Source organism: Homo sapiens, chromosome 5, assembly GCF_000001405.40.
Source record: "Homo sapiens chromosome 5, GRCh38.p14 Primary Assembly".
Classification (NCBI taxonomy): Eukaryota; Metazoa; Chordata; class Mammalia; order Primates; family Hominidae; genus Homo; species Homo sapiens.
This window is the reverse complement of record NC_000005.10, coordinates 162,988,124-163,005,001: the sequence shown is the minus strand read 5'-3', so window position 1 is coordinate 163,005,001 and position 16,878 is coordinate 162,988,124.

Here is a 16,878-nt window from a genome sequence, read left to right as displayed (position 1 = left end):
TAAGTTTTGATCCAGAGTTCAAGAATACCAGTGACAGAACACCCAACCCTCTTAGCACACAAAATACTAGTTACAGTGACACATTTGCGTTACTGGGAATAATTCAAACCCTGTTTAGGTTTTCTTATGATGAATATCACATGATGCATATAACAACTAAGTAATTAAAATCATTTGTATCAAATGGATACCATTGAGATATCTGGGGCTGGGCACATTGGCTCGCTTCTGTAATTCCAGCACTTTGGGAGGCTGAAGTGGGAGGATTACTTGAGGCCAGAAGTTCAACACCAGCCTGGGCAACATAGTGAGACCCCATCTCTACAAAAGTTTTCTTAAAAATTTTGCCACATGCAGTGCTACACATCTCTAGTCCCAGCCAGTTGGGAGGCTGAGGCAGGAGGGTTTTTCAAGCCCGGGAGTTGAGGCTGTAGTGAACTATGATTGTACCATTGCACTCCAGATGCAGTGACAGAGCATGAGGCCCTGTTTCTTTTTTAAAAAATGAAAAAAAAGGATAATCTGAGAAAATAAGGTACTGAACACCTTATTTAATAAATTCACTTTTCAGCAGTTCTATAAAGATATATAAATCTGGAGTTGCTGCATTATTTGTTATGTCATTGTGATTTCAGTTTAGCGTGTTTAAGTGTTAATTAAAATTCTGGACTGTTTTTCATAATTTCCTCCTTAATCTAGGCTATTATCAATTTCCTGAGTGGTGAAAATGCTTGTGGTTCTCATAGCCAAGGCACCTGCCCAGTATTTACACAAGAGCATCATTAGATATTTATAATTTATTAAAATGCCCATGTATGTTCTTTTTGAATAATTGGCTAATAACTTCATTCATAAGGGACATTTGTGTGAGTTCTAATTTAATTTATAGAAAGCCTAACAACATTTAATGTATTTTTAAAGCTATCACAGTACAAATAGTACAGATATTTGTTTTAGTAGTAGTAATCCTTTTTGGTGTTTGTTTTTATTATTAATTTTGAAGGTATAAAAATCATGAAAGTAAAGTAAGATGGAAATCATTCTTAATAATGTGAGCTATTGAGTTGAATATTCAAATATATTGAATTGTTTTTAAATTTATTATTGTAGCTTTTTGAGGCAGATAAAATGAATATTATGCCTATGTCATAGATGACAAAAGGAAACCTAAATATTGTGACTTTTTTAAGGTCACCAAATTGGTTAGTGTTAGGAGAATAAGATACCAGAACCACCACCTCCTAGTGCTGTGGTGTGTGATACAGCAGCCACTAGTCATGAAGGTATTGAGCATTCAAAATGTGAATACTCTGAGATGAGATACACTGTGAGAGTCAGAAAAACACTGGATTCCAAACGTAATACTAGAAAAGAAATGGAAAATATCTCAATAATTATATATTGATTGAATGTTGAAATAAGATTTTAGATTTATGGGGTTAAATAAAATATTAAATTAATTTAACTTTTTAGTTTTCTTATGTGACCACTAGAAAACTTAAAATTTTACAGATGGCTCTTATTATATTTGATGGGCAATACTATCCTGGAATATTTTTTTCTACTGCTTTGGGCTGAATATCTAAGCGTGGGGTCTGAATTATGCATATAAGTTCCTATGGTGTGATTCATACATAGTTTATAAATATCTAAATGTTTAGTAGTACTTAGAATTTTTTAAAAATCTTACATAGTAAGAACAAACAATTGTTTGTTGACTTTTTCTCATATGCCTTGCCCAAAGCAATAGAGAAAAATAAAGTATATTTAAGACTTTCTATGTGAAATGTGAGAGCCACACATAAAATTTTAAGTTTTCTAGGAGGCATATTAGAAGAGGAAAAAATAGTGAAATTAATTTAGCCATGCATTTTATTCAATTTAGTATATCTAAAGCAACCAAGGTAGTGATATTTTACACAAATCTGTTTATATATCTCTTTCTACTTCTTATAACCTACCCTTGCCTTTCTATTGTTCTTAAGGTAATTAAAATTCTTAGCCTGGTAAAATTCTTATCATGATCTCTCCAGCCTTACCTGCTCACTTTTTCCTCAATCTTTCTCTCTACTCCCTTCCTACTACCAGGGCTATTATACTGTCTCTCATAGCTTTCAACACTCTAGCATCCTCTCACTCACCCCAGGGCTCTGTGCAGTGCTTCCTCCTTGTGGAACACTGTTTTCTTTTTGCCTAGTTAACTCCTGTTAATTCTCCAGATTTCAGCACGAGATTATTTTCAGCATGAGATTATCATTTCCTTTTGGACTATTTCTTTGATTCTCAAATGTAGGTCAGTTATTATTTACAATGTGTACCCACAGTAGCCCTAAAAATGAATTTATCTAATTTACTTTGGATAAATTATTCACCCTTAACTGAAAAGTTCACTAACATGATTATTTGATTAATATCTGTATGCCCTAGTAGACTCTTTAAGAGTCATGACACTGGTCTTTCTTTTTTTTTTTTCAGTGCTATATTCCCAGTACACAGTACCTGATATATATTAGGCACTCAATAAATATTAGTTTAATGATATATAAGTGAATAAACTCATAGATGGGCATTCTTTGAGGTATGTATAATGCTGTATTTAAAATAAGATTCAAGATGTTTAAATAAGGTCCTCTGACATTTTTTATAGCTATTTTATCTTTCCTATTTGTTTTGCAAAGTAATTCAGTTTTCAAATAAAAATCAGATTCACTATTATAGTATATCTTTGAATACTTGAGCATTGTCAATTGTATTGCTCAACATATACCAGCATTATGTACTTGGTTCACACAACAACCCTAAGAAAGAAAAATGGATATTTCTACTTTTGGGGCAAAAAGTTAAGTTATGAAAAGTGAAGTGGCATTGCTTCAACTTAAAGGGACAATAATAAATACAAAACAGATTTGGTGTGTGTGTGTCTGTGTGTGTGTGTGTCTGTGTGTATGTGTCTGTTTGTGTGTTTGGGAGCAGGGAGAGAGAGAGAGAGAGAGACAGAGAAAGAGACACAAAGTCCAAGGCTAGATTTTCAAATACTGACGAAAAATGAGAACTGATATCTAAATGATGACTTAATGGCCCAGAGATCTCTTAAGAAATACTAAATTATGTCTGGTAAGTAATTCTGAAGAATGTAGACCATTACTTTTTTTTTTTTTTTTTTTTTTTTAAGACAGAGTCTCACTCTGTCTTCTAGGCTGGAGTGCTGTGGTGCAATCTCAACATACTGCAACCTCTGCCTCCTGAGTTCAAGTGATTCTCCTGCCTCAGCCTCCCCAGTAGCTGGGACTATAGGCATGCACCTCCACATTGGGCTAATTTTTGTATTTTTAGTAGAGATGGGGTTTCACCATGTTGCCCAGGCTGGACTCCTGGACTCCAGCAATATGGCCCGCCTCGCCTCCCAAAGTGCTGGGAACAAAGGTGTGAGCCACTGTGCCCAGCCTGACCATTACATTTTAAAATGATTTTCATCAGAAAGTTAAAATATTTTATATTATTAAGGGCAAATTTTCTAGTTGCTAATAAAATATGGTTAAGTATCCAATGGTTTTCAAAGTATGAGGCCTAAACCAGGAGCATATGCATCATCCAGAAACTTGTTAAAAATGCACATTCTTGACCACCAACCCAAATCTACAGAATTAGAAATTCTCGGAGTGTGTGCAGCTCAGGAGTTTGTGTTTTAACAAGCATCAGCATTTTAGTATTTGAGAACAAGTGGAGAAGACTATTAGATTTAAGGAGCATTCTCATTAATAGCCTCAAAAATATTTAGTGAATGGCAAAACATTTTGGGAGCCTTCCTATGACAAAGGGAAAATGATACATCTTAGAAGACTTCTGTTCTTTAAAAAATAAAACATAACTGGTTTTTATATTTCAAATGTCCTCTATAAGATTTCTATTTCAGTCATCAAATTCTCAAATATTTTCACAAGAATCAAGGTTCCTGAATCAAGAAAACATTTGGAACATTTATAATTAGTTATGTATTGGAAAATTGGCTCTGGAATAAAAAACTGCCCAGATTTGTTGCATTTACTGATATCTCTGCTGTATGTTCTTCCCAAATGGCCAATTTCAAGCTACCAGTAGAGTCATTACGACTTGACTGAGTGTAGGATTGAAGAAATGCTCAGAATAGGTGTTCTATTTTTTTCTTTTTTTTGGAGGGAGGAAGGAGACTCTTTAGAAAGGTCTATTTTGCCCAGTCCACTCACATTATAGAAAATTTCCTTTTACTGTGTATTCTTTTTTTTCCCTTGTTAAAAATAAGTCATACAGATTCTTTGCGCAAAGTATTCTTATACATGAATAATATTTTGGTATTTAAATGGGCTGCCGGTCACTTGATTACATTATCTTTTACCATAAAATATGTGCTGATTTCTCAGCAATTTATGCATGCAGAAGAAGGGTCCTTTACAATGGGAAGTATTTGGAACATGTATAATTCAAGTTGGATTTTGGATAAATATTCCAACCGTATATTTTACTTAGGGATTCCTTTGGTAAGTAGAGTCAATCCTCAATAATTTCATACTATAACAAAAACCAAGAGTTTTGGGTAACTAAGAATCAACATTTCAATTATTCAAAATATTATTGAATGTAATTATGATTGAAAATGGTGCCAATGAGTAAAAACAAACAGTGGAAGTGAGGGCATTTTTTTTTTCTCAGCTGGTAAAAAAGCAAATCTGGTGTGTTATAATTGGTGATGAGGACTTTTTAAACAAATCTGGCTAGTTATTATTTCTAGTCTGGTTGCTGTCCTGGTTTTCAAAATATTTCAGTGCTTTCTTAGGTCTTTTTGTTTTGTTTTTTGCTTTTAAAATATGCAAGAGTATGTCATTTTAAAAGAAATAAAAGCACTACTATTAATGTTCGTAAAAACCTGTTTTGAATATGCATCTCCTATGCTCAGAAAGGTTTGATATCTCCCACTGCTCACAATATAAAACCCAACAATTTACCTTGGTACTCAATCCCTTTGACTATTTGGCCCTTCCTACCTTTCCATCGTAATTTTCTAATTCTGTTCTACAAACACACATGCAGTTTGCCATCTCTGTGAATACTTACAATATGCTTTTTTTACCCATGATATTGCTCCTTTTTCTCATAATTGGAAGTACTATGCATACTTTTTGTCCTATGCATCTCATGTTCTCTCCAAAATTTTTTCATCCTTCCTACTACTGTAGGTGAGCAGTGCAATACGATGATTAGAGTCACTGCCATGATTTGAATATTTAGCCGCTATACTATCTTTTGTACATTACTAAGTTACTCTCAGTGTGTCTTTATCTGTAAATGGGGTTTAATAATAACTGTTTTGTGAGTTGCGTAGTGAAGATTACATGAGAAAAGATCTGTAAAGCATTTACTAACGTGCTTGGCAAGAATTATTAACCATGGCTTTATTTTTTTTCTCATTTGAACTCAAAAGCTATATCCAAACACTTGTTTGGACCTTCCATGTTTTCTTGTAGTATACTTTTGTATACTTATTATGGTGTTCTGAATATAACTGTAGAGTGTTGGCCACAAGGACATACTTTCGGCCTTCTCTATAACATCTAACATGTGCCTTTTCTTGACATAGTACATGCCAGAATAACAATGAATGAATGAATAAAATGGAAGAGTATAAGAAACATTGATTGGATCATTGGGAAAACAAGGCTGTCTCAACTCTGCTAACATCATGTTGTGTCATATTAGCTATTAATAACTGACTTCTTTGAAAGTCAGTGTCTTTATTCAAAATAGAGATGGAACTAGTAGGTAATCTCTATGGCCTTTTTCAACTGCAGGGTGTAACTATCTGAGATATGGCTTAACTGCATGAATGTAAATACAGACTGTTTGTTATAATTACTTATTAATTCTCTATTGAAAACTTTTTGTTTTATTGCACTTTATTTTTAAGCCCTCAGATGCTCAGAACTGACATGATAATACTCCTCAATTCATGATACACCTCCCGATCTGTGGGAGACTTTTTTCTTTTTAAAAGTTGTGTTATGTGTGTTTCCCTTCAACTTATATAATCTGTGACTTAGCGATTTAAATGTGACAGTAAAATTATAAAAGCAATAGAAGAAAACACACAAAACAAAATAACAAGAACAAAAACAAATTTTCCTGGTCACTTCCCTCATTGTACATATCTCAACACCCAACAATTAAGATCTGTCATTTCTGCATCAAAGGTATCTCTTTGCCTTTTCATTTCTAGCCATCTCCTCCACTAATACACCACTGGAGGACACCATTATCTCTCTTTCAGATTATTGTAGTAACCTTCTCTTAATTGACTTTTCTCTCATTCATTCTTCAGTTTTGAATTAGGCTCACCCCTTATAAGCTTATTTATTTATTTAGTGTAAGCTAATTTGAAATGTACTTTGCTTCTTGCAATCAGAATAGTCTTATGATAAAAAACTTTTAAAAAGTAACATCTACATTAAAAATTATTAATTTTCGTGGGTACGTATTAGGTGTATATATTTATGGGTTACAGAAGATATTTTGATATAAGCATGCAGTGTTTTATAATTACATCAGGTAAATGGGGTATCCATCACTTCCTGCACTTATCCTTTGTTACAAACAACCCAGTAATACTCTTTCAGTTATTTTTAAATGTACAGTTAAATTATTTTTGACCATAGTTTTTTAAGAGCAGAAATAAATTTTATAGTGGGTCTATCTCATACAGTCCACTTACTTTGTAGACAATTTCTCTTTTGCTCAGATTTATTTGAGTTGCTAAAAAAAATAGCCATGTAAATTCTAGGTTTATTCACACTAAGTGCTTTCCTTTTTCTCTTTTAATGAAAACCTGTGTTTTTTTCTTTCCTTCTCAGCAAGAACCCGTATTATTCAATTTGCAACTTTCTAGAGAGTCAGCCCAGTTCATATAATTCTTTATAGTTTTAGCAGACTATGGGTCAAAAATAGGAATGTATCTACCATACGTTTGATGGTAAATTAGCCAGTGGTTTCATTTCCTCATTATATTTATAAGCCAGGTCATTAAGTAAACAAATTAATTGAATTATCAAATGCAACATAATTTCTTCTGACCCAAGCAATTTGGGGATGATTCTACCATTAAAGGTTATCATTAGGAAGAAAATTAAGAGCGTAGGCAAATAGTGGTTGAACTGCTCTCAAAATGTGGACTATAAGCACATTTGGAAATGTTTCAGAAATTTAATTTCCATCTTCCACTTCGATGTGTATGGCAGCAAATATTAATCCACCCTATACTATTCCAAAGCTTATCAAGAACAAAACAATAGCACATGCAGTATTTCTATAGAATTGTCATCTACTGGGAAATATAGAGAATAGTATTTTAGATGTCTACAGCTTCTGGAAGATCACATTTTTGCCTTATATAGTGTACATTGCCTTTAGTTAGTTTCTTTGGTCAAATAAAAGATTCTTTGATTTTCCTTTATGAAAGTTGCAATGAAATTTTCCAAGTCCAAAACTGAAATTTTAAAAAGTTATTTGTAATTCTCTAATTGTTAGGTTTTTTTTTTCTAATAAAATAAAGCCACCTCAGGGTCCAATATTCTTTCCTTGTCAGTTTATATCAGTGGTTATTTAGTATAAGTCAATGATTTAGTTCAGATCATTTATTTTGCCTCTGTAACATGGTGCTTAATTTCTAATTTAACTTTTCCATATATGTTTATATTTCGTTTTCAATTAGTATACTCTTTAGGTCAAGTGTCGTGTTAGACAACACCTGTAGGAAAACATGCTGGACCTATTGTCAGAAATCCCAGGTTGAAGTCCCAATTCTGACACTATCTTTCTGAACTTGGAAAAATAACAATCTCTCCTGAATCTGTTTTCCAGTGAGTTACCTTACTTTTTATCAAGTGTGTTAAGTGAAATGTAGTGACATCCCTTTGCAAGCTCTAGAGAGCCCTAGAGATATAAGGTGCTTTTTTTGTTCTTTTGTGGACCCCTCAACACAGTGCAGGAAAAGAGCTCAAATATTGATAAATAAGCATAGACTTTCTCAAGGCTTAATGAAAATAAAAAAGAATTGATTATGTTCCAAAGGATTCACTGAGTTTCTAAAGTACTCATAGATGTTATTTAAATTAATTAATTTCCCCATCAAATGGTCATAGAGCATGAACAAGAACAGCATGTGATAAGGTTTCACAGTATTAAATTTTCTTCATAGAATTTCAACATCTGTTTCCAAATATTGTCTAGGTTGTTGTAAAGAATTCATTTAACTATCAGATAACTTTTACTCTTTTCCTTTCATATAGAAATGAGATCTTAATGTGACATATATTTGTGTTTGAAACTGAGCCATAATCCAAATAAACAATGTCCTCGATTTTATCCAAATAAAAATTTTTTTTTATCTCTTCTGGGGAAGATAATTAATTACAAGAAAATAATTTTTCACAGGACATTTACTTAAAAGCATGTGTCATACCCACTTAAATGCTTATTTATCTTCATGATATTAGAAATTCAGCCTAAGTAATTTCCATCCAGAGCTCAAAAGGACATTTGCTAACTGAATTTAGAGCTCTATAATAAGAAAGTAGCTTAGTTATAACTAAATAAAAAAGGATGAATTACTTTTCTTTGTTAGTGAATAATAATCATGTTAACCATTGAAAATAAATGAAAATTATTTCGACTCCAGAAACTGGCTCATCTTTGAAGCTAAGTAGGGAGCATAGAAATAGTACAGTCAGCAATTTTGGCCTCATGTACCTTTCCCACAATGCATTTACAGTCTGTCCATCTCATTTGTCAGCTGTTGTTGCAACTATGCTTTCAGATTTTATATAAACCAAAACATATAATCTAAGAAACAAATGTGAAAAGAATTCATCACATTACTTTTATGTAGAATCAAATGTATTTTTAAAAAATCACAGGAGAAATATAGCATATGCTTTCTTAATGCAAAGATGAGATATATTACCTTAAGCAGATTTTCAAATCATATAAAATTTCTTATTAATGGCATATTATGGAAAATCTAAATAGTGCATGCAAAATATAACCTTTTCTAAATTATGACTCAGTATTGCTTGACAGATTAGTCAGTCACAACATGATTTGATTCTGTGCTGGTTTGTGCTCAATGTGATTTCAGAACCTGAAACTAAGTAATTAAAATCTACCTTATCTCACTAAGTCAGTAGGAGAGGCTCATTATGAATCCAGAAACAAACTTAATAGCCTGTGGTCATGCATCAGAAAGAAGAACGAAGATTGTGTTTATGCCTTCAGAAAGTTTAGTCATCTGTCTTTGAAGTTTCAGCACCATGAACAATAGTCTCCTTACTGGTGGCAGAAAGGGAGCGAAAAATTCAATTACGGCTGTAGTTATTTTTCGAAGAATACCATTTCTTTATTATCCAGCCAGTTTACTGAAGGATGAGCTAAAATGTAGGAAAACATATCAGATTATTAGGAAGATGATATTGTAGCTTCCTTTAGGATCTTACACTGATGGAGACTTGGTTTGTAGGCAACATTTTTACTTAGTAGCCAAAGGACCTGCCCTATATCTTATCCAACTCTTTTTCACTCTCCAGCAACTTCTACTAATTTTCTCTTTGTTAAAGTGTTTGTGGGCTGGGCACGGTGGCTCACACCTGTAATCCCAGCACTTAGGGAGGCCGAGGCGGGTGGATCACGAGGTCAGGAGTTCAAGACCAAACATGACCAAGATGGTGAAACCCCTGTCTCTACTAAAAACTACAAAAAAAAAAAAAAAAAAAAAAAAAAAAAAAAAGCTGGGCGCGGTGGCAGGTGCCTGTAATCCCAGCTACTTGGGAGGCTGAGGCAGGAGAATTGCTTGAACCTGGGCAGCAGAGGTTGCAGTGAGCCGAGATCACACCACTGCACTCCAGCCTGTGCAACAGAGTGAGACTCCGTATCAAAAAAATAATTAAAAAAAAAAGTTTGTATAATGTTTAGTAAAAGAAAAGTAAAAATAAAATAAAAAATCCACTTTACTGACAGCACTTGGGGGGGAAGACTTTTCATGTGGATGTATAAGATATTACTATAAATGAGTTTTCAGCCACATATTAATTTTACCTCTATTTCTCATGTGTACATAATTAACATTTTTAGTAAAACTATGTTTCTAAGGCCAATAACATTGTCAATTTTTTTTAAATTAATTTTTTTTTTTTTTTGAGACGGAGTCTCGCTCTGTCGCCCAGGCTGGAGTGCAGTGGCGCCATCTTGGCTCACTGCAAGCTCTGCCTCCTGGGTTCACACCATTCTCCTGCCTCAGCCTCCCGAGTAACTGGGACTACAGTCACCTGCCACCACGCCCGGCCAATTTTTTGTATTTTTGGTAGAGACGGGGTTTCACCATGTTAGCCAGGCTGGTCTTGAACTCCCGACCTCGTGATCCGCCTGCCTTGGCCTCCCAAAGTGCTGGGACTACAGGCGTGAGCCACCACGCCCGGCCCTGTTAGTGTCAATTCTTGTTCATTTGATCATTCACTTGTTCATTCCACAAATATTTATTTGGCATCACCTCTGTACTGAGTACTCTTCCATGTACAGGGGTTAAAAGAGGTAAATACAACTGATAAAATTCCTGCACTCATGTGTGAGTCTAGTGGGAAAGCAGGCATTGAAAAATCTTTATAAGACAAAAACTGTATTGTTGTGATACCTATGAAGAAGGAAGTATACAAGGTATCATTAGAGTACTTAGGGGCTGGGGACGAACACTTGATCAGATTTGATATTGACCAGGAAACACTTAAAAGAAGAGATGCCTTGATTTCTTGCCTGGATGCCAATGATAACCTCAGAAATGGAATTCACACACTAACTCACGTTTTTTTTTTTCTTCCAAACTATGTCCTGTACGGTGGCTAGCATGATCTTTGCCATGTGTAAATATGATCATTCTTGCCTCCTGATTGATTCTCTTCAGTAGATTCATAGCTCTTTAAAATTAAGATTGAAATCTTTGTTAGGAATAATTAGAAACTGTAATGCCTGAATCTCTCTCTCTCTTTGGCACCCCATTTCTTCTAGTTGCCTTCATTCTCAGACATACTCTTTTCATGTGAGGGCAAAGGCAGGCTCCCTAAAGAGTTATATTTATGCCATCCTAACAGTTCTTGATCTTAGTTCCCCAGATTACATGGAGTACAGGAGAGAAGGCTGCCAAAAGAAAGATATGAACAACAAATAACACATACTCTCTAGCCATATAATTAAAATAAAATTATTCTGTATATACTGTGTTTCCAATTGTCAACTAATGCTCTCTATATTTAAAAACTATATTTAAACAAGTATGTAAAGTAATTTGCTACAGGGAATTCCCACATATTGAGATAATTTTTTTTTTTGAGATGGAGTTTTGCTCTTGTCACCCAGGCCAGAGTGCAGTGGCGCGATCTCAGCTCACTGCAACCTCTGCCTCCTGGGTTCAAGTGATTTCTCCTGCCTCAGCCTCCCAAGTAACTGGGACTACAGGCGCCCGCCACCATGCTCAGCTAATTTTCTGCATTTCTAGTAGAGACAGGGTTTCACCATATTGGGCAGGCTGGTCTTGAACTCCTGACCTCAGGCGATCCACCCATCTCAGCCTCCCAAAGTGTTGGGATTACAGGCGCGAGCCACTGCGCCCGGCCATAGTGAGATAATGTTAACCTTCATGGAGATATTAGGAGTGAGGTTGGAAGTTTATGAGAAAAATTATTTTATAATCTATATTCTACTTCCAGGAAATGAAGGAATTTAAATGATACTCTAAACTTCTGTAACGGTATTAAATACAGTTAACATTATTCATTACCTACCATATTCCACAAACTTTATTAGCTTGAAATTCTTTGCATAATTTTCTTTTTCCCCTTTTCCTTCCTCTTTAGTTTTTGATGAGACCTGTGGAGAATTTTAAGCTTTCTAAGATATAACATGGAGCATTGCTTCTTAAAGCATGTGAGTTTAGTTTATTGATAATGTGATATTGCAGCATAAAAGTTATATTAGACAAACCCCATCACAAGGCTGCTTTTCTTCTTGCCTTGTATAGCTTCTATACGATTCTTTCACTAATGTCCAAGAGGAAAAACAAAGCCAAAATCTTATCTCTAATACCAAGAGCATGTCATGTGTAGCAGGTCAGGCATGGGAAAATGTAAATCATTTGAAGCCTATACAAGTTTTAGTTACCCACTTAGGATAATAAGTTATGTATGTCTATAAGCCATTGGTCTATAACTGAACAGAGTGTATTGTTGGCTTCAAGCTAGAAAGGTTATGAGTCAAATGTGATTAATGCTATAGCATGGATAGGTACTGTGAGACTACTGAGTAGCTATGTATGTTTCCTGTTAAATTAGGTACATATATTCCCTAAAAATATTTCATTAAGAAGTTTAGGACTCACTCAGTTATTCACCTTTAAATTATATATGGCTTATATCTATTTATATATTTATTGTTTTGTTTTATTGTGCTTTGTTTTAGATACATGAATTTGTGATTTCCAGAAAAATTATGTTGCTTTTCATGTCTTCATTATTTTTCATGTTTATATTTATTTCTATAAGCGAGATTTCAAAATGCTGAAATAATTGGCCATCCAACAGTTAAAATCCTATAGTAGTAAAACCGTGGAAATCCTGGATAACTGTGACTATTCTTTATGACACAGCTTTTTCTTAAAATTGATATTAACAAAATGCCTTGATTCAGAATTAGCATGAAGCTATACATAAGCTTTTCCCCTGTCTTTCAGTAACTTAATGGTTTAAATTAATGTCATATTGAAGGACAAAATTTCCACAAGAGACACTTTGAATACAGAAAATTCTCAAAAATGCCTCTCTCAGTCAAGTTCCATCTTGTGATACTTTTGTGAGTTATTTTGAAGCAAAGTCACTATTATTTACATTTATTGTTAAGCTGTTAGTTTCCTAAATATTTTGATATGCACAATTAATTTAATTTTCACAATAAGTCCCATAGATAAATACAATAATTAATCCAATAATTAATCATAGGTGAGTTATATGAACCTTTATTGCACAGTGGTAGTTAATTTGAAAGAGACTGGGATCCAAAACATTTAATTCCTGATCAGACTCCACACTCTTCATGTTAAATTACAGATCAGAGAACAGCCCAGTTTATGTGGCCTAGAGCTTCAGCTAGATATTACATAAGAATACTGGATTTTTATTGGAATATTGTTTGGTTGTTCATTCTATTTTGCTAAAGTGCCAAGTATACAAAATTCCCCATAATGCGCTATAGAGTAATATTGCTTGTCACTTTAAACATAGATAAAATTCTCAAAAGCTTCCCCTGGATTCCCCCAGAATATCCATATGTATTTGGAATTATGTAGGAAAATGCAACTGAAGAGTTTCTCTGCAGTGGGCTTGATGAATGTGTTCCTGGGATGAAGAAATTAGCCAGCTGTCTGAGAAATAAAAAGATTACAAAGTTTTACCAGTTCTTGAATTAATTGACTTTCTCAGTTTGTAATGAGATCTGAGGATGACTTTCAGTGCAATTGAGATGATCCTTTTTGATCTATCTCAGGGTTTCTCAACCTCAGCACTATTAACATTTCGAACAGATAATAATTTTATATGAGGAGGGCTGACCTGTGCATTGTAGGATGATTCACAGGATCCCTGGCCTCTACCCATTAGATGCCAATCTCAGCTCCCCATTATGACAAACAATATCTCCAGGTGTTGCCAGTATCTCAAGGAAGTGGTGCAAAATAGTTCCCAGTTGAAAACCACTGATCTAGATGTATACACTTCAGAGAAATGCAAACTTTTCCCTTATTTTATGGAATGCAAATGAATGTCTAGCCTTTTTCTGAATACTGAGCATCTTCATTTTGTTGTGGTTGAAGGGAAATTCCTAAGTGACCACTATTCTGTGCTTTCTTTCAGAACCATTAACTACACGGCTCTCTCAAGCCAATTATTATCACATAAAATGTTTTCAAGGCCTGTGTGAGTGTTCAAAGGTCACATCATAGTAAAATGGCAAATCTTTTCATCTGATAACCCAGTAAATAAAAAACTACTATTCAAGAGGAAGAATCAGCCACAAACTATTTTTTTTCCTAATAAATCTGCCCTTCCCTACAATCTCACAGACACTGTGTTGAGGCAGGGATGCCAGCTTAAAAGCCTCATTATTCAAAAGGCTCATTATCTTATTTCTTGTCTTACCACTGGGCCTTGGTTGAAGCTATTCTGGACCACTCCTCCAGGTTTTTCTAACTTCAGGTCTCAAAGATCAGGATTTCAGGCATAACTCCTTTTTCTCTCACAGACTCTCAACTTCTTAGGCATATCGGTTCACTTATTCTGAGAAATCAACTTGGAATATCAAGGAATGAAACAGATTGGCTAAGGTACTCAAAAACATAACAATGGGTGCCCACTTCTTTACACTGTCGTAACTAAATAAGGCATCCGAATAACCTTTTATAGAGGCAAAATTATCTTCAAGGTGACTCTCCATCCATTTCTGTATTATAAAGTAGGTGCCAACTTCTCTTCCCAAAAGGCAGCTTATCTTAGGAGATAGCAAAAATTCCTCACCATTTAGCTTATCAGTTATTCTACCAGACAGTGATGCAATCTCCTTGCAAATGCAATCTGTTTTTCTGATGAATTGCCAAAGTTCAGTAGCCACAGATGGAGGTGAGGACAGGGAAGAAAACCCCACAGGCATAGTTGTCCTTGTTTGAGGATGTCATTAAGAAGTCCATTCTGGTTCATGGCCAGATGCCTCCTTGTTGCCTTTGTAGAAGGCCAGTCCACTCATTTGTGTTTGTTGGTACAAAGAGCTATTTTTGTTGTTGAGTGCAATTGCCTCCATTTAGAAGTACTTAAAATGAGCACATGCACTTTCTGGAAGGCTATTTTACTTTCATTTTATTAAATGATTTATTGGATGGCTCCCAAAATGATTACCCAGAAATGTCAGGTAAAGGTTAATTCAATACCATGGGGCAGAGTGGTGTTAGACTTATGTGGCATGAGGCTGATTAGAACATTTGCCTTAGGAAAGGAAAGGGAATAATTTAGTGTAACACCATGGGTATCTGACATTACTTTTCAATTTACCTGTTGATGAAGAAATACATTTCCGGGTGTCTTTTCCATCTCAGAAAAAGTGAAAATGTTTTTGAAAGAATGGTCACACTTCACTATTTGAAAATATGTATTGACATAATTTAGGAATATTTTTCATTGCTACAGAAACACTGTTTTCATATAAGATTATGCTATGGAAGAAAGAAGAGGCATGAAATGGGAGACAAGGGGAAGTGCATTTTGGCAGATATATTATTACATAGAATTTTTGAGGTCTGGAAACTCTGAATTAGAAAGTGTGGGCTTGATTAACAGCTTCATGGTCTATGTACTAAATATATGACATTAGGACAATTCATCTTCTTAAGCTTTAGTTTCCTCATCTGTAACATAGAAAATGCAGAACACAGTTTGCTTCACACAAACATGCTCAGTCTACACATTTTCTTATTCAAGAAACATTCATTGAGCACCAGCTGTGTCCCAGGAATGGTTTTAAGCTCGGGAAACAAAAGACTGCGCAGAAACAAGCCCATTCTGCTGCCTTCGTGGAGCCTGTGAGTTGGGTTTGTGGGCTTGGTTAGAAAGCAGCTATGAATTAAGTAATCATATAAACGTGTGAAATTTTAACTGTGATAACCGCTATCAAATAAAGCAATTCGGTGTTATAACTCTGAGTTATATTCTAGTCTGAGACAGCAGGAAACTTCCTTGAGAAAGTGACAGTAGAGCTACATCCCAAAGATGAATAGAAGTTAACTAAGTACAATGGTCTGAATATTTGTGCCCCCTCAAAATTCATAGGTTAAAATCTATTCACCATTGTGTTGGTATTGGTAGGTAGGGAATTTGAGAAGTGATTTAGATTATAAGGTGCTCTCATGGTTGGGATTAGTGCATCTAGGAAAGAGGCCTTAGGGAGCTGCCTTGCCCCTTCTACTCTGCGAGGACACAGCATGAAGACATCCTCTATGAATGAGAAAGTGGGCCTTCACTAGACATTGAATTTGCTGGGGTCTTGATCCTGAATTTCCTTGCTTCCAGAACTGTGAGCAAGCTACCTGGTCTCTGGTATTTTGTTATAGCAGTCCAAACAAGCTAAGACACTAAGGGATGGTGGGGAGAGAAAGGGAAGAGTAATGTAGGTAAAAGCCCTGTATCAACAGAGAGTGTCAGAGAAATGTAGTGAAGGCCAGGGCGGTTGATGCCTCAGGAATGAGAGAGAAGAGTAATGTGTAGTGCAACTGGGGATGCTAGCAGGAGTTTGAACATGTAGGGCCTTTTAGACCATATTATGGATTCCGTTTTTTTAAAATTAATATTTTTGAGAAGCCCCTGAATAATTTTAAGAAGAACGAAATGTTGGTGATGGTGACATAAGTATGTTGTATTTTGAACTCTGGTTACAATGTAAACAAGATGGGGGGATGGGATGGATCTTGCAATAGGCTAAGTGAGGGCTGAGGGCACCTTGGGTTAGGGAGACAGTAGAGAGGAGGGGAAGAAGTTAATAGCACTGAGAAGGTCAAATCAATATATATATATATTAGGTATAATTGTTATTGCTATGGTTCTTAATGCCATGTGATCAGACTATTGACATTCTTCCTTTTGAGTTGGAGCCAGTTGCTTTTCCATGCTTAGTGATATGGTTTGACCATGTGTCCCCACCCAAATCGCATCTCAAATTGTAATCCCCATGTGTTGAGGGAGGGACCTGGTGGGAGGGACCTGGTGGGAGGTGACTGGATCA